General features: G+C 38.5%; 1 protein-coding gene across 14 annotated transcripts in view; it reads left to right on the top strand.

Annotated features, from left to right (window-relative positions):
• ASH1L (ASH1 like histone lysine methyltransferase) overlaps nt 1-22,148 on the top strand; it is a 227,935-nt gene that overhangs the window by 79,054 nt on the left and 126,733 nt on the right. For all 14 annotated transcript variants that reach the window (XM_047425248.1, XM_017001785.2, XM_006711450.4 and 11 more), the window contains one exon: nt 1,700-6,263. In XM_047425248.1, coding sequence (XP_047281204.1) covers nt 1,700-6,263 — 4,564 coding nt within the window. The remainder of the gene's footprint in view (nt 1-1,699; nt 6,264-22,148) is intronic.

Here is a 22,148-nt window from a genome sequence, read left to right as displayed (position 1 = left end):
TCATAACTATGTAAAACACTTCCAAACTGAAAACCATAAAGTTAGATGCATAGGGGTCTAGTTTCTAACCCTGTTTACTTTCCCATAAGTCACTATTTTCGCTAATCTTTGGTTCATTCCATTTTAAAATATAATCGGTAGGCATATATATATTCATATTCTTCATCCCCATTTTCTTATACAGAAGGTATATTATATGTATAAGGCATAGCATAGCATAGCATATTATAACCATTGTTCTCAACCTTGCTTTTTTTCATTTAATAATATATCCTGGAAATCACTCCATAGCACTATATTGATATCTCTTCCTACTCCTCCTACTTTTGTTTTTGTTGACAATTTCTCAATATTCCATTGTACAGATGTACCTTACTTTATTCAGCCAGTTTTCTGTAGATAATTGTTTGGATTTTTTTAGGGTTTTTTTTTTTTATATTAAAATAGTGGTGCATTTTGGACCCTTGTGCAGACATTATATTTTTAAGAGTGTATCTTGGGTAGACCCTCAAAGTAGGATTTCTGGGTCAAAGGATGTAGTTAAATGCATATGGAATTTTTCTAGTTTATAACTAGATTGTAGCGTTTTCCATGCAGTACATTTTCATACGTGCTTGAATTTGGTTTTATGTTTTCTGTCCTGTTTCATTGGTTTGTTTGTCTTTTCATTTGTCACTTCTGTACTGTTTCAATGATTGGGGCTTTGAAAAATGATATTTGGTATGGTTATTCCCTGGCTTTTCTACATTTTAGGTTTTTCTAGCTATTCTTGCATATCTATTTTCCCCATTGAACATCACAATCAATTTTTCTAAATGCCAAAGAAATCTGTTGGTATTTTTATTGAGATTGCATTAAATTTATAAATTTGCTTAGGGAAAATTGTCGTCTTTATGTCTTCCTATCCACAAACACAGTATAACTTTACATTTGTTCAGTTCTGAGTATTTTATATTTAGGAAGAACTCTTTAGTGGTTATCCAAAAGTAAAACAGACTATTGTGTGAAGTAGTGAATTCATTTCTAGAGTATATAGTGAGGATTCATGAATTAGCATTTTACGGTAAATGACTTAAATGTTACTTCCCATTCTAAGATTTTATATAAAAACACATTCTGATGAAAATATGAATTTTTAAATTGTCTTTCCTATTCCACATTAAGAGAGAGCTCTACTGCTCACTCAAGACCATAATTGAGAATGAGTTATAAAAGAGTAGAAGTAGGTTAGGGATTGTCTTCTATAGGTTTAGAATCATTTAAGTCAATGAAGGAGGTAGGCAGTAAACTATTATTTTAGATGACGACCATAGGATACTGTAACTAAAAATAATTTTCTTTTCAAAAATGGTAACTTCATATGCTTCATTTATATTTACCCAGTCAAAAGTAAGATGAAAGTAGACTATTGATTTGCCATTTAAAAAATGTCAAAAATATCAGGGATATTTCTAAAGACCCTCTAATGTATAGTTTTATCGTGTTGAAAGTCAACAAAGATAATATACCATGATAGCCTCTCGTATAGCAGCAGATGAGCTAACATACTGTGACATAAGTATAATATTAGGTTTTTTAAAAACCACTGTTGCCTATTGTTTATCTGATATGTGATCCATTAGTTTGTTGGATTGTTAAGCTAAGCTAAAGTGGTGTAAGGTTTACTCCCTCTTTAACTTTTTTCTTGTTCAAATTTTAGGACCCTTCAAAGTTGTACAAGAAAGCAGATGATGTTGCAGCCATTGAATGCCAGTCTGAAGAAGTCATCCGTCTTCATTCACAGGGAGAAAACAATCCTTTGTCTAAGAAGCTGTCTCCAGTACACTCAGAAATGGCAGATTATATTAATGCAACGCCATCTACTCTTCTTGGTAGCCGGGATCCTGATTTAAAGGACAGAGCATTACTTAATGGAGGAACTAGTGTAACAGAAAAGTTGGCACAGCTGATTGCTACCTGTCCTCCTTCCAAGTCTTCCAAGACAAAACCGAAGAAGTTAGGAACTGGCACTACAGCAGGATTGGTTAGCAAGGATTTGATCAGGAAAGCAGGTGTTGGCTCTGTAGCTGGAATAATACATAAGGACTTAATAAAAAAGCCAACCATCAGCACAGCAGTTGGATTGGTAACTAAAGATCCTGGGAAAAAGCCAGTGTTTAATGCAGCAGTAGGATTGGTCAATAAGGACTCTGTGAAAAAACTGGGAACTGGCACTACAGCGGTATTCATTAATAAAAACTTAGGCAAAAAGCCAGGAACTATCACTACAGTAGGACTGCTAAGCAAAGATTCAGGAAAGAAGCTAGGAATTGGTATTGTTCCAGGTTTAGTGCATAAAGAGTCTGGCAAGAAGTTAGGACTTGGCACTGTGGTTGGACTGGTTAATAAAGATTTGGGAAAGAAATTGGGTTCTACTGTTGGCCTAGTGGCCAAGGACTGTGCAAAGAAGATTGTAGCAAGTTCAGCAATGGGATTGGTTAATAAGGACATTGGAAAGAAACTAATGAGTTGTCCTTTGGCAGGTCTGATCAGTAAAGATGCCATAAACCTTAAAGCCGAAGCACTGCTCCCCACTCAGGAACCGCTTAAGGCTTCTTGTAGTACAAACATCAATAATCAGGAAAGTCAGGAACTTTCTGAATCCCTGAAAGATAGTGCCACCAGCAAAACTTTTGAAAAGAATGTTGTACGGCAGAATAAAGAAAGCATATTGGAAAAGTTCTCAGTACGAAAAGAAATCATTAATTTGGAGAAAGAAATGTTTAATGAAGGAACATGCATTCAGCAAGACAGTTTCTCATCCAGTGAAAAGGGATCTTATGAAACCTCAAAGCATGAAAAGCAGCCTCCTGTATATTGCACTTCTCCGGACTTTAAAATGGGAGGTGCTTCTGATGTATCTACCGCTAAATCCCCATTCAGTGCAGTAGGAGAAAGCAATCTCCCTTCCCCATCACCTACTGTATCTGTTAATCCTTTAACCAGAAGTCCCCCTGAAACTTCTTCACAGTTGGCTCCTAATCCATTACTTTTAAGTTCTACTACAGAACTAATCGAAGAAATTTCTGAATCTGTTGGAAAGAACCAGTTTACTTCTGAAAGTACCCACTTGAACGTTGGTCATAGGTCAGTTGGTCATAGTATAAGTATTGAATGTAAAGGGATTGATAAAGAGGTAAATGATTCAAAAACTACCCATATAGATATTCCAAGAATAAGCTCTTCCCTTGGAAAAAAGCCAAGTTTGACTTCTGAATCCAGCATTCATACTATTACTCCTTCAGTTGTTAACTTCACTAGTTTATTTAGTAATAAGCCTTTTTTAAAACTGGGTGCAGTATCTGCATCAGACAAACACTGCCAAGTTGCTGAAAGCCTAAGTACTAGTTTGCAGTCCAAACCATTAAAAAAAAGAAAAGGAAGAAAACCTCGGTGGACTAAAGTGGTGGCAAGAAGCACATGCCGGTCTCCAAAAGGGCTAGAATTAGAAAGATCAGAGCTTTTTAAAAACGTTTCATGTAGCTCACTATCAAATAGTAATTCTGAGCCAGCCAAGTTTATGAAAAACATTGGACCCCCTTCATTTGTAGATCATGACTTCCTTAAACGCCGATTGCCAAAGTTGAGCAAATCCACAGCTCCATCTCTTGCTCTCTTAGCTGATAGTGAAAAACCATCTCATAAGTCTTTTGCTACTCACAAACTATCCTCCAGTATGTGTGTCTCTAGTGACCTTTTGTCTGATATTTATAAGCCCAAAAGAGGAAGGCCTAAATCTAAGGAGATGCCTCAACTGGAAGGGCCACCTAAAAGGACTTTAAAAATCCCTGCTTCTAAAGTGTTTTCTTTACAGTCTAAGGAAGAACAAGAACCCCCAATTTTACAGCCAGAAATTGAAATCCCTTCCTTCAAACAAGGTCTGTCTGTGTCTCCTTTTCCAAAAAAGAGAGGCAGGCCTAAGAGGCAAATGAGGTCACCAGTCAAGATGAAGCCACCTGTACTGTCAGTGGCTCCATTTGTTGCCACTGAAAGTCCAAGCAAGCTAGAATCTGAAAGTGACAACCATAGAAGTAGCAGTGATTTCTTTGAGAGCGAGGATCAACTTCAGGATCCAGATGACCTAGATGACAGTCATAGGCCAAGTGTCTGTAGTATGAGTGACCTTGAGATGGAACCAGATAAAAAAATTACCAAGAGAAACAATGGACAATTAATGAAAACAATTATCCGCAAAATAAATAAAATGAAGACTTTAAAGAGAAAGAAACTGTTGAATCAGATTCTTTCAAGTTCTGTAGAATCAAGTAATAAAGGGAAAGTGCAATCCAAACTCCATAATACGGTATCAAGTCTTGCTGCCACATTTGGCTCTAAATTGGGCCAACAGATAAATGTCAGCAAGAAAGGAACCATTTATATAGGAAAGAGAAGAGGTCGCAAACCAAAAACTGTCTTAAATGGTATTCTTTCTGGTAGTCCTACTAGCCTTGCTGTTCTTGAGCAAACAGCTCAACAGGCAGCTGGGTCAGCATTAGGACAGATTCTTCCCCCATTACTGCCTTCATCTGCTAGTAGTTCTGAGATTCTTCCATCACCTATTTGCTCTCAGTCTTCTGGGACTAGTGGAGGTCAGAGCCCTGTAAGTAGTGATGCAGGTTTTGTTGAACCCAGTTCAGTGCCATATTTGCATTTACACTCCAGACAGGGCAGTATGATTCAGACTCTTGCAATGAAGAAGGCCTCAAAGGGGAGGAGGCGGTTATCTCCTCCTACTTTGTTGCCAAATTCTCCTTCGCACTTGAGTGAACTCACATCTCTAAAAGAAGCTACTCCTTCCCCAATCAGTGAGTCTCATAGTGATGAGACCATTCCCAGTGATAGTGGAATTGGAACAGATAATAACAGCACATCAGACAGGGCAGAGAAATTTTGTGGGCAAAAAAAGAGGAGGCATTCTTTTGAGCATGTTTCTCTGATTCCCCCTGAAACCTCTACAGTGCTAAGCAGTCTTAAAGAAAAACATAAACACAAATGTAAGCGCAGGAATCATGATTACCTCAGCTATGACAAGATGAAAAGGCAGAAACGAAAACGGAAAAAGAAATATCCCCAGCTTCGAAATAGACAGGATCCAGACTTTATTGCAGAGCTGGAGGAACTAATAAGTCGCCTAAGTGAAATTCGGATCACTCATCGAAGTCATCATTTTATCCCCCGAGATCTTCTGCCAACTATCTTTCGAATCAACTTTAATAGTTTCTATACACATCCTTCTTTCCCCTTAGACCCTTTGCACTACATTCGAAAACCTGACTTAAAAAAGAAAAGAGGGAGACCCCCTAAGATGAGGGAGGCAATGGCTGAAATGCCTTTTATGCACAGCCTTAGTTTTCCTCTTTCTAGTACTGGATTCTATCCATCTTATGGTATGCCTTACTCTCCTTCACCCCTTACAGCTGCTCCCATAGGATTAGGTTACTATGGAAGGTATCCTCCCACTCTTTATCCACCTCCTCCATCTCCTTCTTTCACCACGCCACTTCCACCTCCTTCCTATATGCATGCTGGTCATTTACTTCTCAATCCTGCCAAATACCATAAGAAAAAGCATAAGCTACTTCGACAGGAGGCCTTTCTTACAACCAGCAGGACTCCCCTCCTTTCCATGAGTACCTACCCCAGTGTTCCTCCTGAGATGGCCTATGGTTGGATGGTTGAGCACAAACACAGGCACCGTCACAAACACAGAGAACACCGTTCTTCTGAACAACCCCAGGTTTCTATGGACACTGGCTCTTCCCGATCTGTCCTGGAATCTTTGAAGCGCTATAGATTTGGAAAGGATGCTGTTGGAGAGCGATATAAGCATAAGGAAAAGCACCGTTGTCACATGTCCTGCCCTCATCTCTCTCCTTCAAAAAGCTTAATAAACAGAGAGGAACAGTGGGTCCACCGAGAGCCTTCAGAATCTAGTCCATTGGCCTTGGGATTGCAGACACCTTTACAGATTGACTGTTCAGAAAGTTCTCCAAGCTTATCCCTTGGAGGATTCACTCCCAACTCTGAGCCAGCCAGCAGTGATGAACATACAAACCTTTTCACAAGTGCAATAGGCAGCTGCAGAGTTTCAAACCCTAACTCCAGTGGCCGGAAGAAATTAACTGACAGCCCTGGACTCTTTTCTGCACAGGACACTTCACTAAATCGGCTTCACAGAAAGGAGTCACTGCCTTCTAACGAAAGGGCAGTACAGACTTTGGCAGGTAAGAGGGTTATTTTGTTACCTGTTATTTGTTAAAGAAATAGGTTATTTTCCACAGGTGCCTGATAAATGTAGATGAACTTTTAATATATATATCTTTTTTTGTTTTTTAATAAGTGTATTTTGAAATCTCAGTATTCCTTTTCCTTAAGATTTAAGAAGTAGGGAATGTCTATATTATTTTTTTGTTTTGAGAAGAGCTATTGTCAAAAAGAAAAAAAGAAAGAAATATACATAACTTTTGGAAACCAGGAAAAATCATTCATCTTTTTTATGTAGACAGGTTATTACACAATTTTTATAAAGACAAATGGCTCATAGGTCTGTTAGTAGTATGCAGGATCTCCCACCACCCCCTGCCCCCACCACCCCAAGAGGTAAAAGGTAATGCTGGAAGGATTTTTAATGTATATTAATCCAGTAGTTATAAATGCATCTTTGTTACAGGAAGAATATGTTATTAATACTGTATGTCTCATAATAAAAATTCAAACATTGGACATTTTCAGCATTGTAAAATTTAACTGAATATTCATTCAGACAGACTTCATTTTGCAGCATACCTTTTGATGTTTTCATAAAAGCTGCTTCAATTAGATAGAAAAAAAAGAAATCTGGAAAATGCATTTGTACATCTAGAAAGAATTGTACATCTTTTTCTCTCTTAATTATACACCTTTTAAGAATTGAGAAGATAGAAAACAAAGAGTAAGCATTTGCCACTCGAATAAAAGATTAGAAGTTCTTTGTGAGAGATCTTAAGCCTAAGAGTTTGTAAAATAACTCTAGGAAGTCCATAAACCCTCTGATGTTGTAAGTAAAATTACGGGTATATATGTTTGTGCATCTTTTTTAGTGATAATCTAGAAAAATTTCATCAGATTTTCCAAGTAAATTCTCTAAACCTCAGTATATTCTCTAAACCTCCTATATAATGGGATTTGTAGGGGTATTATGAAAAGTAATCACATAGTAAGCATGCAAATATTAGTTATTATTATTATTCCCCTAAAAGATTAAAAACTTGTGCATTAGGCCAGGCGCAGTGGCTCACACCTGTAATCCCAGTGCTTTGGGAGGCCGAGGTGGGCGGATCATGAGGTCAAGAGATCGAGACCATCCTGGTTAACACGATGAAACCCCATCTCTACTTAAAATACAAAAAAAATTAGCCAGGCATGGTGGCAGGCGCTTATAGTCCCAGCTACTCGGGAGGCTGAGGCAGGAGAATGGCGTGAACTCTGGAGGTGGAGCTTGCAGTGAGCCGAGATAGCACCACTGCACTTCAGCCTGGGCAACAGAGCGAGACTCCATCTTAAAAAAAAAACAAAAAACAAAAAAAGACTTGTGTATTAGGGAAAAGATAAACCCCTCGAATACAAAGAGTTTTTGTTCCTGATTTTCATTATTCATGAACTTTTGAAAAATTAAAACTTAGTGGAGAATCTGAGTGTTCCTTAGCTTTTAACAGTGTTTATTTATTTATTCATTTTTTTATTTTGAGACGGAGTCTTGCTCTGTTGCCCAGGCTGGAGTGCAATGGTGCAATCTCGGCTCACTGCAACCTCCGCCTCCCGGGTTCAAGCGATTCTCCTGCCTCACCCTCCCGAGTAGCTGGGACTACAGGTGCATGCCACCACACCCGGCTAGTTTTTTATATTTCTAGTAGAGACAGGGTTTCACCGTGTTAGCCAGGATGGTCTCGAACTCCTGACCTCGTGATCCGCCCACCTCGGCCTCCCAAAGTGCTGGGATTACAGGCTTGAGCCACTGCACCCGGCCAGCTTTTAACAACGTAAAGAGAGAAAAAGTCTTATGCTTAGGTCCATTCAACAAATAGTTTATTTAATCAGTAATAGTTACTGAATATCAGGTATTTACCAGGCATTCTACTTTGTGGGCCCTTGTTATATAATAGAGAATGAGGCACACAGGTTCATTGAGTCATGGAGATTATAGTAGAGGAGGTAGATAATAAACAAAAAATCACATTACGTGTTGTTAAAATTGTGATAAGGACTGTAAAAGGGAGAGAGTACAGCATGAAATGGGGAGCCTAACCCAGAGAAGTCTTTCCTGAGAAGGTGATCCTAAACTGAGACCTGGCAGATGTGCAACATTTAACTGGATAAACAGACTCATTCATTATTCATTCATTTACTGGTTCATATGTTGAATTCCTGAAACATACAGGACTATTCTAGTCACTGGCATATACAATAGTAAATGCCTGATATCTGACCTCATAATTTTCAGCTTAGTGAAGGAAGACAAACCATAGAGTGATAAGCAAATAAATAATGGCTTAATTGAGAAAAATGCTATAAAGTTAATACCATGGAGTGTTATGATACAGATTAAAGGGCTGGCAGAAGGGGATCTAATTAGATAGTTACTAGTTATGGCTGAGGATAAAAAGTTGAGACTTAAAGGATGAGAAGCCACAGTGAAGTCCAGGCGCGGTGGCTCACGCCTGTAATCTCAGAACTTTGGGAGGCTGAGGTGGCCAGATCACTTGAGGTCAGGAGTTTGAGGCCAGCTGGCCAACACGGTGAAACCCCATCTCTACTAAAAATACAAAAATCAGCCGGGCATGGTGGCACGTGCCTGTAGTCCCAGCTACTTGGGAGGCTGAGGCAGGAGAATCGCTTGAACCCAGGAGGCGGAGATTGCAGTGAGCCCAGATCACGCCAGTGCAACAGAGTGAGACTGTATCTCAAAAAATAAAAATAAAAAAAAAGCCACAGTGAAGAACATGTTTTAAGATTCTCAGTTGGGAAGGAGTTTAGATATTGGATAAACTGAAAAAAGCTTCATCGTGGTGAAAGAGGAAATACAGAGAGAGTAGTGAGAAATGTGGCAAAAGAAGAGACCAAACAATGTGTTAAGAATTTTGGATTTTATATTAAGAACAAAAGACAAAGGAGTATTGATTTTAGGTTTGCATTTTTAAATGATGATTTTGCCTTCTGCATGAACACTGGATGGAGAGGATAAAAATAATTTGAAGGAAACTGGTTAATAGGCAATTGCAGTAGTCTAGATAACATGATGGTGCTTAGATTAGGTTAGTGGCAGGCTTATGTCTGAACATATGGGAGATTGGAGATAACATGCACTAAGAGAGAGAAGACTATAGGAGGAGCAGATTTAGAGGAGAACACAGTTTTTTTTTTTCTTTTGTTTTTGAGACAGGCTCTCACTCTGTTGCCCAGGCTGGAGTGCAGTGGCACGATCTTGGCTCACTGCAACCTGTTTCCTGGGCTCAAGCCATTTTCCAGCCTCAGCCTCCTGAGTAGCTGGGACTACAGGTGCAAGCCACCAATGCCAGGCTAATTTCTTTGTATTTTTGTAGAGATGGGGTTTCGCCATGCCGCCCAGGCTGATCTTGAACTCCTGGGCTCAAAGGGACCCTCCTACCTTGCCCTCCCAAAGTGCTGGGATTATAGGCCTGAGTCACCACTCTGAGCCACTTTTTAATACATACAGTTTGAAGTGTCTGAACGTTGAAGCGGAGGATTTGAGAAGGTCGTTGGGTATCTAGTTCTCAGGCTTAGTAGAGAAGCTTGACCTGGAGATAAGAGCATTTCCTCTGAGTATTTGAAAAATTGTGTTAGGCAATATCATTCACTAAAAAGGGCTTCTGGGTGAAATAAAAGTTAGGAACAGACTCTCAAAAACCTGTGCAACTTTATAAGCAGAGCATCAAGAAAAGTAATAATTTTCAAAAACAGCAGTTAAAAAGACATACTAGACCAGGCACAATGGCTCATGCCTGTAATCCCAGCACTTTGGGAGACCAAGGCAGGCAGATCACCTGAGGTCAGGAGTTCGAAACCAGCCTGGCCAACATGGCGAAACCTGTCTCTACTAAAATAAAAAAATTAGCCAGCAGTGCTGGTATGTGCCTGTAGTCTCAGCTACTCGGGAGGCTGAGGCAGGAGAATCCCTTGAACCTGGAAGGTAGAGGTTGCAGTGAGCCGAAATTGTGCCACTGCACTCCAGCCTGGATGACAGTGTGAGAGTCTGTCTCAAAAAAAATATATGTATATATATTGTTAAGACTAAATGTCTTAATAAATAAAGAGGCTGGGAATGGTGGCTAATGCCTGTAATCTCAACACTTTGAGAGGTGAGGTTGAAGTATCACTTGAGCCTAGGAGTTGAAGACCAGCCTGGGCAACATAGGAGCCTCCCATCTCTACAGAAAAATGTTTTTTAAATTAGCTGGGCATGATGGCATACGCCTGTAGTCCTGGCTACTCAGGAGGCTGTGGCAAGTTGATCACTTGAGCCCGGGAGTTCAAGGCTGCTACTGTAAGCTGTGATCGTGCCACTTCACTCCAGCCTGGGCTGGCAGAGTGATACTCTGTCTCAAAAAAAAAAAAAAAAAATAGAAATACTACAATAAATATAGGCATTAACCTTCCAGGAAAAGATGAAGGTCGCTTGTAGGGATATAAAGAAGGGTTGAAGCTGCTCAACTGTAGGCACAGAAGGATGTCATTGGTAGATAAATGTAGCAATGCCAGACATAGCTGGTTCTAGTGTATTGTACCTGTTTGTTTCTTTTGTACAAACATTGAGAGAAGCCACACAATAAAAACACTTGCAGAAAAGTCTGTTGCCAGTAGGAGCCAAGAGGAAGAATGTGGATGAATGTACATTTTGAACAGAACTACATTGCTTATGGCTTTCTTCATTTAGTTTGTGTTGGTGTACTCCTTCGTTCAGCTGCTAGTTTTGTCCTGCAAAATATTTATGTGCTTTAAAAGTCATGTATTAACCAATACAACTTCCATATTCTGGTATCATTCTTGTATTTATCAATGATACAAGAGCTATTTAACTATATAGAAACACATACAATAACAAAACATACTGTATACCTTTGTGAATTTTTATATGTATAATCATGAGAGTAATGATATTTTCCTTGGGAGAGAATAGGGAGTGAAAAACAAACAGCCTTGGGTAGCTCTGAGGAACTGCAGTATTTAAAGTAGTGCTTAAAAAACTGTCAGCTTTTGGCCCACATGTGATTCTTTGTGATGATCTCTACACTTTTTAAAAAATTGCTCATATTAAAAAATGTAGCAATTTTACATAAAAATGTGGAATTCTGCTTCTCAGAAAAATCAGAACATCTGGCAACAATTAGTCCACATTTCGTGGATAATAGGGATGGCTGGGGCTCAGTATTGGCAGGCCCTTTTTCATTGCTGCTTGTATTCTTTTGTTCGCCACAGTCCTCACTGTTTTCTGTTGTGTGTTGTATCTGGCCCTCTTCAGCTATTTAAAGAGGGAACTTTTGGATTTGAGATCCCTAATTTCAGAGTCATGAGAAGGAGATTATAAAGGATGAGTAAATTGAGGTGAAGGTGATATGAGATGACAGGTTAGGATGTTGAATGTATCATCTACATGGACATTGAAATTACCCAAGAGGACAGTTACAGAAGTTGGGGTGAAAATGGTGGATGTGAACCTGGTTTCAGGGTCCTTGGGGAATGAGAAAGATAGCAGGGAAGTTTATGCAAAAGTACCTGTGTTAAGTACGAATTTGTCTTTTTAAAAATTTCCTTCTTTATTTATTTGAGATGGAGTCTCTCTCTGTCATCCAGGCTAGAGTTCAGTGGCGTAATCTAGGCTCACTGCAAAACCCGCCTCCTGGGTTCAAGCTGTTCTCCTGCCTCAGCCTCCGAGTAGCTGGGATTGCAGAAGTGCACCACCACATTTGGCTAATTTTTGAATTTTTTGTAGAGTCGGGGTTTCACTGTATTGGCCAGGCTAGTTTCAAACTCCTGACCGCAAGAGAACCACCTGTCTCAGCCTTCCAGAGTACTGGGATTACAGGTGTGAGCCACTGCACTTGGCTTTTTTTCTTCTTTATAAAATAACATACAGAAACCACAAAGACCTCTCTGAAGTCACTGCTCTGACACTAGTTCTCTATCACCAATTGGATGTTGTACAATTTAGTTCAATTCTGAATACAAATTACCTGAAGCTAGTGAAGACCTCAAGTTAAGAGCAGAGTTCATCATGAGACTGCAGATGCCAGTCACAAATTTTGGTGTTCCTGAGACATCCATACTTCTGCCTGGCCTGCTAAAAATTTGCAACTTCGTGCAACCCCCTCAATTTTGGTAACTTGTTAAAAGGACTCACAGAACTTGTGAAAGCACTATAGTATGATTACAGTTTTGTTACAAAGGATGCAGATCAAGAACAACTAGTTGAAGAGATACATAGAGCAGTGTTTGGTGCAAGAAGGGTCCACAGACCTCCATGCCTTTCCCCTTGTGGAATCCGGGCACATTGCCCTCCCAGCACATCACTATATTCACCAACCTGGAAGCTCCAGTGAACCTCAGTGTCCAGAGTTTTTATTGGGGCTCTGTTAGGTAGGCCGGATTGATTAGATCATTGGCCATGTTTTTTAATTCAATTTTCAGTTCTCCACTCCCTTGAGGTTGGGGTGACCCAAAGTTTCAGATTTTTAATTATGTGATTTGGTCTTTCTGGTCACCGGCCCCCATCTTGAAGTTACCTCAGGCTTTCATCTCACTGTCGTAACAGAGACATTCCTGTCACTTGGGTAATTACAAGGGTTTTTGAAACTCTGTGCCAGGAACCAGGGACAAAGACCAGCTATATTCTTTACTTGATCATAAGTCTAAATTCTTTTGTTAATTGTTCTCTATCTTGGAATCTCTCCATCTTCTTCACAATTACTGTTGATAAGTACATGGAGATGTGACTTGATTTTCTAATAGAAACTTAATATACTTTTTTCAGGTAGATGTGAGAATAGGTTTAGTTGTCTTAACAAAAACCAGTCGAGGAAAAGTTTTTAGTTAAGCAGAATACTAAATAAAAATATTAATTCAGGCTCAGATATCTTTTGTTTTGATCCCTTTGAAAGTCAGAACTGGTTTTGTTTAGGAGTATTTTATGTATTTGATTTTTATTCTTAACTATTCCCTTATGATGGTAGCTGTTCTTTCAGCAAACAGTTATTTTGTGCCTATTGTGTGCCAGGAGAAGGAACATGCTGTAATTCCAGCACTTTGGGAGGCCGAGGTGGGTGGGCCACTTGAGGTTAGGAGTTCGAGATCAGCCTGGCCAACATGGTAAAACCCTGCCTCTACTAAAAATACAAAAATTAGCCAGGCATGGTGGCACATGCCTGTAGTCCCAGCTACTCGGGAGGCTGAGGCACAAGAATCACTTGAACCCAGGAGGTGGAGATTGTAGTGAGCCGAGATTGCACCATTGCACTCCGGCCTGGGCAACAGAGCGAGACTCTGTCTCAGAAAAAAAAAAAAAAAGGTAATTTCTGCTTTAAAGTTGATTTATAGTTTAGACATGTATATGAATAGTTATTGACAGTTTTTTTTTTTGTTTTTTTTTGTTTTTTGTTTTTTGAGACAGACTCACTCTGTTGGCCAGGCTGGAGTGCAGTGGCACAATCTTGGCTTACTGCAACCTCCGCCTCCCAGGCTCAAGCAATTCTCCTGCCTCAGCCTCCTGAGTAGCTGGGATTACAGGTGTGTGCCACCATGCCCAGCTAATTTTTGTGTTTTTAGTAGAGACGGAGTTTCACCATGTTGACCAGGCTGGTCTCGAACTCCTGACCTATGGTGATCCACCCGCCTCGGCTTCCCAAAGTGCTGGGATTACAGGTGTGAGCCACCGCGCACAGCCTGACGGTTCTTAATATTGAGATACTTACAAGGCATTTTGGGGAGCAGAGAAGTGAGGGACTGACTTTAAAGGTCTTGGGAAGGAGGAGGGAGTTTTGAATTTAGCAGCGAAGAATAATGTGTGACACGTGTTTCTTACACTAGATATCAGCTTTGCAAGGGCATGGGGATGTGTTACTGTGCTTAGTTAAGTGTTAATGGTTTGATATGGGACCCAAGAGATGGGACTGGAAAGATAGGCAGATCATAAAGTCCTCGTTTATATGAGACTCCCAAGAGTATAGAGTTTACTTTATAAGGTATGAGAAGTTAAGGGTTTTAAGATGGGGAATAATTTGTTGAGATTACATTGACAGCAGTGTGATAGATGGATTAGTGAAAAGAGATCAGGTAGATCAGTTTGGAAACTGCTCCCACAAAATATTATGAGGCTCTTATTATGAGGCTCTGAGCCAAGGTAGAGATGATGTGATTAAGTGAAATGAGATATGCAAAAGGATAAGGTTGGAAATAGGTAATAAATTTGGATTTCAAGCCTGTTTTGTAGGACAGATGGATCTGTAGCTCAAAGGAGAGGTAAAACCTGAAGATAATTATAGATACTTTATTATTAAGGCTATGAGAAGGAATGACAATATTTATGGTGAATTCAGTGGGTTTCTTAAGTGAGTTTATTATAGTCAAGAGTGTCAAGTGGGTGGACGTGGTGGCTCACGCCTGTAATCCCAGAACTTTGGGAGGCTGAGGCGGGCAGATCACCTGAGGTCGGGAGTTCAAGGCCAGCCTTACCAACATGACGAAACCCCATCTCTACTAAAAATACAAATAATAGCCGGACGTGGTGGCACATGCCTATAATCCCAGCTATTCAGGAGGCTGAGGCAGGAGAATTGCTTGAACCTGGGAAGTGGAGGTTGTGGTGAGCTGAGATCACGCCATTGCACTCCAGCCTGGGCAAGGAGAGAAACTCCGTCTCAAAAAAAAAAAATTAATTAATTAAAAAAAAGAGTGTCAAGTGTTATGGGAGATTGGTTAGGTAAGTACTGAAAGTGGATGATTGGCTTTGGCGGTTAGTTTGTCTTGTGTCTGAGAGCCATTTGTATAGTGGCAAATGTTAGATTTCTGGAGGCTGAGGAATGGAAGTTAGGAAATGCAGACAATTAAAATTCTTACACCTTTACATTTTGCTATTTTTTCCTCAGTGTTTTCTTTTGTAGCACTTCTGACTGGTTTATTATTTGCTTTTTCCTTACAATGACATTGTTATTCTATAGCATTCTGTTGAAGATGTAATTACATTTTCTCAATCTGTGATGTCAGGTTGCTTTTTGAAGTATAAAGGTTTAAGAAATACATAATTACATATGATTTTTAAGTGATCTTCTCGGTCTTCAGTTGATTTTTTCCATATATAAATTTAAGGTAGATTCATTTTACATTTGGTATCATGTTAAAATGCTCCCAAAACTACCTACTGTATAATAGGTATTGCAATATTGTTGATCACCTTCAGGATATTATTATCCTGAAATGTCTCCCAGTGGTCCAAGCTGGGACAGTTTGAGCAACAAAATAAATATGAGAGGATTGGATTATAACCTAAAAAATAAAGTCAATATCTATAAATCCATGTTGATTTAAATAAATGATTGACTAAATAAATACTTGGCAGAAAAGAAGCAAATCTTCCTTACAGAAAAATTCCAAATAATATATGTAGAACACACTTTCAGGAGGTGGAACTTAATTTACCTCTTCTTGAATATGGACTGGACTGCTGACTTTTAAAGAACAGAGTATGAAGAGGGAAAAGCAGTAACTTTACAGTGAAGAGGCCTGGCAGACAGCACCTTAACCAAGTTCAAGGTTAACTTCACCAATGATAAGGCATGGTGATATCATGTACTCTCTGATAGAATGTGTTAAATCTAAGCAGAAAAAAAAAATAATAATAATAATAAAGGGCATTCTACAAATACTTGACCAGTACTAAAAAGTATCAAGGACCTGAAAAAACAAGGAAAGTCTGAGAAGCTTTTACAGAACAGAGAAGACTAAGGAGACATGACAACTAAATACAATGTGATATCCCAGATTGACAGTGAAAAAAGGACATGAGTGGAAAAAAATTGGCTAAATCTAAACAAAGTCTGGAATTTTGTTAATAGTATTATTCCAATATTAATTTCTTGGTTGTGACAAATGTACTGTAGTTATGTAAGATGTTAACATTGGGGGATGTTGGGTAAAGGACATACGAGTATTCTCTGTACTATCTTTGTAACTTTTATGTAAATCTGAATTTATTCCAGAATAATGAGTTTTTTTAATACAGCAGAATACAAATTGTTAAGTAAAACATATCTCAAACTGATAATTGATGAAATAAGAAATAAAGGTTATTTACTATTTGTATTGAGTGGATTCCTCATAAGTGTTGGTTGGGGGTAAAACAGGCATATTTGATAAATCATGTTGATATAAATTTCAGGAAAAATAAATGAAACCAGATTAGGGACACTGGAATGTGTAGCTTGGACCAAGGCATTTAACCCTTCTCTCCTTGTTTCAAAAATGGGGAATCAAACTGACTTATCACTTTGAGCATTTTTAAAGTAAACAAGTATATTCACTGTAAAATTAAATCTTATGAAGACTTAAAAGGAATAACAGCTATAATCACTTTTATAAATTATGTGCATATGGTAGTTAGCTTATTTTTCTAACATATACTGTTCTGTACTGTACAGACTAACAGCTATAAAATCAGCTTGATGCAAGTGAAATTACAGTAAAATTACACACTTAAGTAAGGCCAGGTTTCCTGGTTTCTCCCAATCCTGATAGTGATTCTATTTAATTTATGTATGTATGTTAGGTAGACATGAAATAGGTCTCATGGGCAAGAGTTTCTGACTTGGATGAGCAAGAGTTTCTGACCTGGAATGTCAGTTATTTCATCCCTGTTTTTCAGCATATGTGACTCATGGCTGGCTACACATGACAGAACTTACAAACCTGGATTCTAAAATTGGCAGAGCAGTAGAATGGAGTATTTTCATTTAGCATTTATAGCTTACAAGTCATAGAACAAGCAGACAATGGAACATTATTATAAATGATTTACTACATGTAAATTATATACATTATTTGGTGCATTCAGTGATGATGAATATTTTGTCCTCCAAGAATAAGTGAGGCTTAAACCTTTTTTTTTTGGAAAAAGTATATTCACTGTACAAGCATATAGATTGAAGCAAAGAATACTGAGTTTTCTCTTTAACTGAAGAGTATAAGCTTTGATCAGAATATACTGATCTCAAACAATTTCTCTAGTGCTGTTTATAAGACACACCTATGCAACAGTTAGAAGGAATAAGTTCAGATGTTCAGTAGCAGGGTGGGGTGACTATAGGTGACAGCACAATATTGTGTTTTTCAAAAATAGCTAGAAGAGAGGACTTGAAATGTTCCTGACACAGAAATCATAACTACGCAAGGTGATGGATACCCAAAATACTCTGACCTGATTCTTATACATTCTATACATGTAACAAAATATCACATGTACCCAATAAATATGTACAACTATTATGTATCAATTTTAAAAAGATTTAAAACATGATAGAAAAAAGATATGCCTATAAAGGAAGTGTGAACCTACAGAGATGAAAGAAAATTGTTTGTGGTGTGGTTAGTGCAGTTAGGGGAATTTCCAGAAGAATTCCATTTCAGTGAATGATGTCATTTGGGCATTATGAAAAATAGCCTAGTTAGAGAAAAAAACAGAGTTTTTGTTTTGTTTTGTTTTGTTTTGTTTTTTTGAGACGGGGTCTCACTCTGTCGCCCAGGCTGGAGTACAGTGGTGCTATCTTGGCTTACTGCAAGCTCTGCCTCCCGGGTTCATGCCATTCTCCTGCCTCAGCCTCCCAAGTAGCTGGGACTACAGGTGCCCGCCACCACGCCTGGCTAATTTTTTGTATTTTTAGTAGAGACGGGGTTTCACCGTGTTAGCCAAGATGGTCTCAATCTCCTGACCTCGTGATCTGCCTGCCTCGGCCTTCCAAAGTGCTGGGATTACAGACATGAGCCACAGCGCCCGGCCAAAACAGACTTTATAGCTTAAAAATCGCCAGAACAGGCTCTGAGTCATACTCTCTTGTAGTGCATTTAGTTGGTGCATCAGATAAAATGTATTGCTTTCTGTATTTCCCACAATTGAAAACAGCTGTTTTTATTGTGGACCCAGCTTTTACCTTAGCATTCAGCTCATTCACAAGAAGGTTCCAAGGTGGCTATCAACTGTGAACCATACCAAAGGATTCAGAACTTGAATCTGGGAACAAAAAAAATCTTGACCAGAAGTTCTCAAATAGTTTGATATTTTATGTTCATATTCCTTTACTATGGTAGCCATTTTTATTACAACCAATTTTGGTTCAGTCGTTGTTTAACACACATTCCCAAATAGCTTTGACTTATAAATAATGAAAGAAGAGAAATCTTTTTTAAAACTAAACTTTTGTAACAATTTAATTTTGGTGGGAAGGAACAATTTCAGTGTTAGAAACTTTTAAAGTAAATTATTTTAAAATCGATAATATCTTAGAACTGACTACTGCATAGCATTCTTCCAAATTAGCATACTTAATTTATTTTTCTGTAATTCACCCAAAGATATTTCTAGCATTGCAAACATCAAACATTCCACTCATATAAATGATTTCTTAGTTACTTGTGTCTTTAGTGTTGATCTCCAGAGTGTGACTAAAATTCATACTATATTAAGTTATAAAAGCTTTAATAGTGAACTTAGGCTAAAGAAACATATGTTTTGTCCAACCAACTATTGATTTAATTCACTGTTTTTTTTTTTTTTTTTTTTTTTGCTAATTTGTATTTGGCACCAGGGAAATTCCTTGTTTTTCTAGGCTAGGATGCTCAGGGCTTCAATGAGTAGTTAGTTGAATCTTTATTCTCATGATTTCTTTGGGATGCCTCCACCACTGCAGACACTATTATCAGTGAGAATTTTATCTATTCTGCTATCTTTGCCTGTTTTACTGTCTTCACACCCAGGCATCTGTAAAAGTAGCATTACTTTTATATCTTTGGTTTGTTTTAGTTCCTCCAGTGGAAATGTCAATCAAGATTTTTTGTGGCAAATCAATTTGAAAACAGGTTCTTGGTTTCTGCTCATTTTCTGTTTATTATAAAGATTTTCATAATCTTATTTCTTTATGATCCAGTTATGTTCTTTTTTTACTTTTTCAACTTTGACAGTTTGTATCCCTGATTTCATCTTACAGTTTTGCTGTAAAAGCACTACCTTTCCCCTCTTGTTTAAATTGGCAAAAATGTTTCTGTAAATCCTGTCTTTATCTTCAAAAGTTCATCAAATACTGGCCAAATAAAATCCAGAGAGTCTATAATTAAAATCACTTCCAAGGTTCCTTCACATTTGCAAGTTTGGTTTTAATTCTTAATTTTCTCTGTATTATTCCAATTTATGGTATTCTCTTTTTCTGTCTTCCTCTTTACTAGTAGTCTGCCTTGTTTACATGAGGGCCTTTATTTCCAACGGAAGAAAAACTATTTCCCTTAATAATCTACTTATATTTATTCTGAAATCCAATTTTATTTAGGTACTTTTTTTTTTTGCAGCTTGCCTATAATTTCTACTTCCTGCATTTATGTGTGTAGAATTTCCAAACATATTCTGAAGTTGTCATCATCTGAGTGATGAGACACAGCGGTGGTCTACGTAGTAATATTGTGAACTAAGGAATTCCTATTTGTAGTCTTTATTCACTTCTGAAATACTTATTCTGCTTTATAGTATTTTGAAATGAAAAATGATGGGAACTCTTTGATATCTACAATTGTGTTCTTTGTGTGTATGCTTTGAGGAAGTGTCAGATTTTCTTGAACTAGAATTCATATAAACCTCTTGTCCTTTGTGGAATGGGGAGCCTCCACACATCCTTCCAGGCAGATCTAAAATGGCTACTCTTGAGACATGAGCAAACATTTGTCACATGATGGAGACAGCAAGGAAAAGGGCTAAGTAGGGGAAGCAGAAAACTACTTTCTCCCTTGGGAAAAAACTGAGCAGAAAGCCAGACGTCTTCTGGTTCTGACTCATCTCTTGGGCATACTCTGCAAAAGCTATGGCGAAGAGTCAGTGAATTAGAAGATTCACTCAGAGTAACTTTTTCCTACCCTGCAAGTACCTACCAGCCCTGGAGGTGCCTATATGAGTAGTACTTCTTAATTGGATTCACTCTATGTTTAAGGTAAATGCTTGATGTTAATAGGTTAGTTCTAGCTCCCTACTGGGTATAACTCACTGCTCTTCTTTCTATCATTATTATTATTATTATTAAGGCAAGGGTCTCACTGTCGCCCAGGATGGAGTGCAGTGGTGCGATCACAGCTTGCTGAAGCCTCTACCTCCTGGGCTCAAGCGATCTTCCCACTTCAGCCTCCCAAGTAACTGGGACTACAGGGTATGCACCACTATGCCCAGCTAATTTTTATTTTTTTTTGTAGAGACTGAGTTTCGCCATATTGTCCAGGCTAGTCTTGAACGCCTGAACTCAAGCAACCTGGCTACCTCGGCCTAGCAAAGTGCTGGGATTACAGGCATGAGCCCCCACACCTGCCTATGTAAAAATTCCATAATAAACCTAAGGACTCAATTAATATATAGTAGTCACTAATATTTATAAAACATTTTGAATTTTATAAAATTGTTTTTGGATTACATTATCTCGTTTTGGGACTCACAACAATGCTGTAACTTAGCTTTATTAAACCAAAGCCCAGGCACATTTACTTCTATAGATTCTCTCTAGTTTAATTTGTAGCAGAGCCAGGAGTCAAACCCAAGGATGCTTTACTCCATAGTCCATGTACTGAACACGATATCGCACTCGACTCTGCTCTGCATTATGTTTTAGGTTTGGACACATACATATATATTGGTCTCTGTTGAATTGGACATACTAGTTCTCTGGGCATTATCTGGTTCTTTCTGGAAGCCCAACTGCAAATTGGCGTTTATAAAACAGTGTATTTCTGGCAATGTTACAGATGTTTGCAGATTTCATATGATTCCTACTGTTAGGCTAATTTTAACATACTTTGAACATCTTTTAACTGGTTGCTATTTCTTTTACATAAGTGATAGCATCACTTTCCAGTCTTAAACTTGGTTGCTTTATATCGTTAATGTTTTTTCAGTTATCCTCATCTTCTTACTGCCTCTGTGAGCACTGCTTTTAAGTGAAATAAGATGCTAGAGCTGATGATTACCAAGCGATAGAGATCTGTATCTCAAGGATACAACTTGATTCTTTTTAAATATGGAATATTGTTAAGAATAGCTCTGCTCTGTATGAACAGGGAATTCAAACTTTTAAAAATGAAAAATGAGAACCTTCCTGAATGAAATTTTACTCAAATCTCCTATTAAATCCTAAGAATAGGCTGCTGGCTTCCATTACTTTCAGGAAATGAAAAATGGCTTAGAAGCTAAGTGAGCTAAGTAAGCCATCTCTCTCTCAATTGTTTCAGTTTCTCAGGAATTGCTGCCAATAATGCTGCCAATAATGATCTCCATGGATCTGACCCCCATTCCATCTCCCACTGCCTCTGAAGCTCCAGATGTCACCAAAAGAAGGAGCTTTGAAGAAAGTGCCTGTACCCTCTTTTTACCCTGAGGTGGGTGAGGCCAGGCAGGGTGATTCTCAGGATATCCTGATTATCAAAGGTACAGTTGAAGCCTTCATCAAGACTTTCTTGAAGATGACCAAGAAATTCAGGAAACACTACCAAATAGCCTAAGAACTGAAGATGGAGCTCAAGAATGGATGGCACAAGTGCCACCTAAAATGTAGTGCATGATGATATACACGATGATTAGTAAGCTCCTTGAGGGCAGAGACCATTACACCATTTGTAGTCTTCCCCCTACCTTCACAATATCTAGCATAGTACCAAACATATAAACTATACTCACTTAATAAATGTTAGTTTATTACTGAGAGAAAAGACTATATAAAAAGTGCTCTTAGGGCTGGGCGCAGTGGCTCATGCCTATAATCCCAGCACTTTGGGAGGCTGAGGCGGGCGGATCACTTGAGGTAAGGAGTTTGACACCAGCCTGGCCAACA

The sequence above is a fragment of the Homo sapiens genome, chromosome 1, assembly GCF_000001405.40.
Source record: "Homo sapiens chromosome 1, GRCh38.p14 Primary Assembly".
NCBI classification, from domain to species: Eukaryota; Metazoa; Chordata; class Mammalia; order Primates; family Hominidae; genus Homo; species Homo sapiens.
The sequence above is the reverse complement of the archived record's forward strand: the minus strand, read 5'-3'. Positions and strand labels throughout refer to the sequence as shown.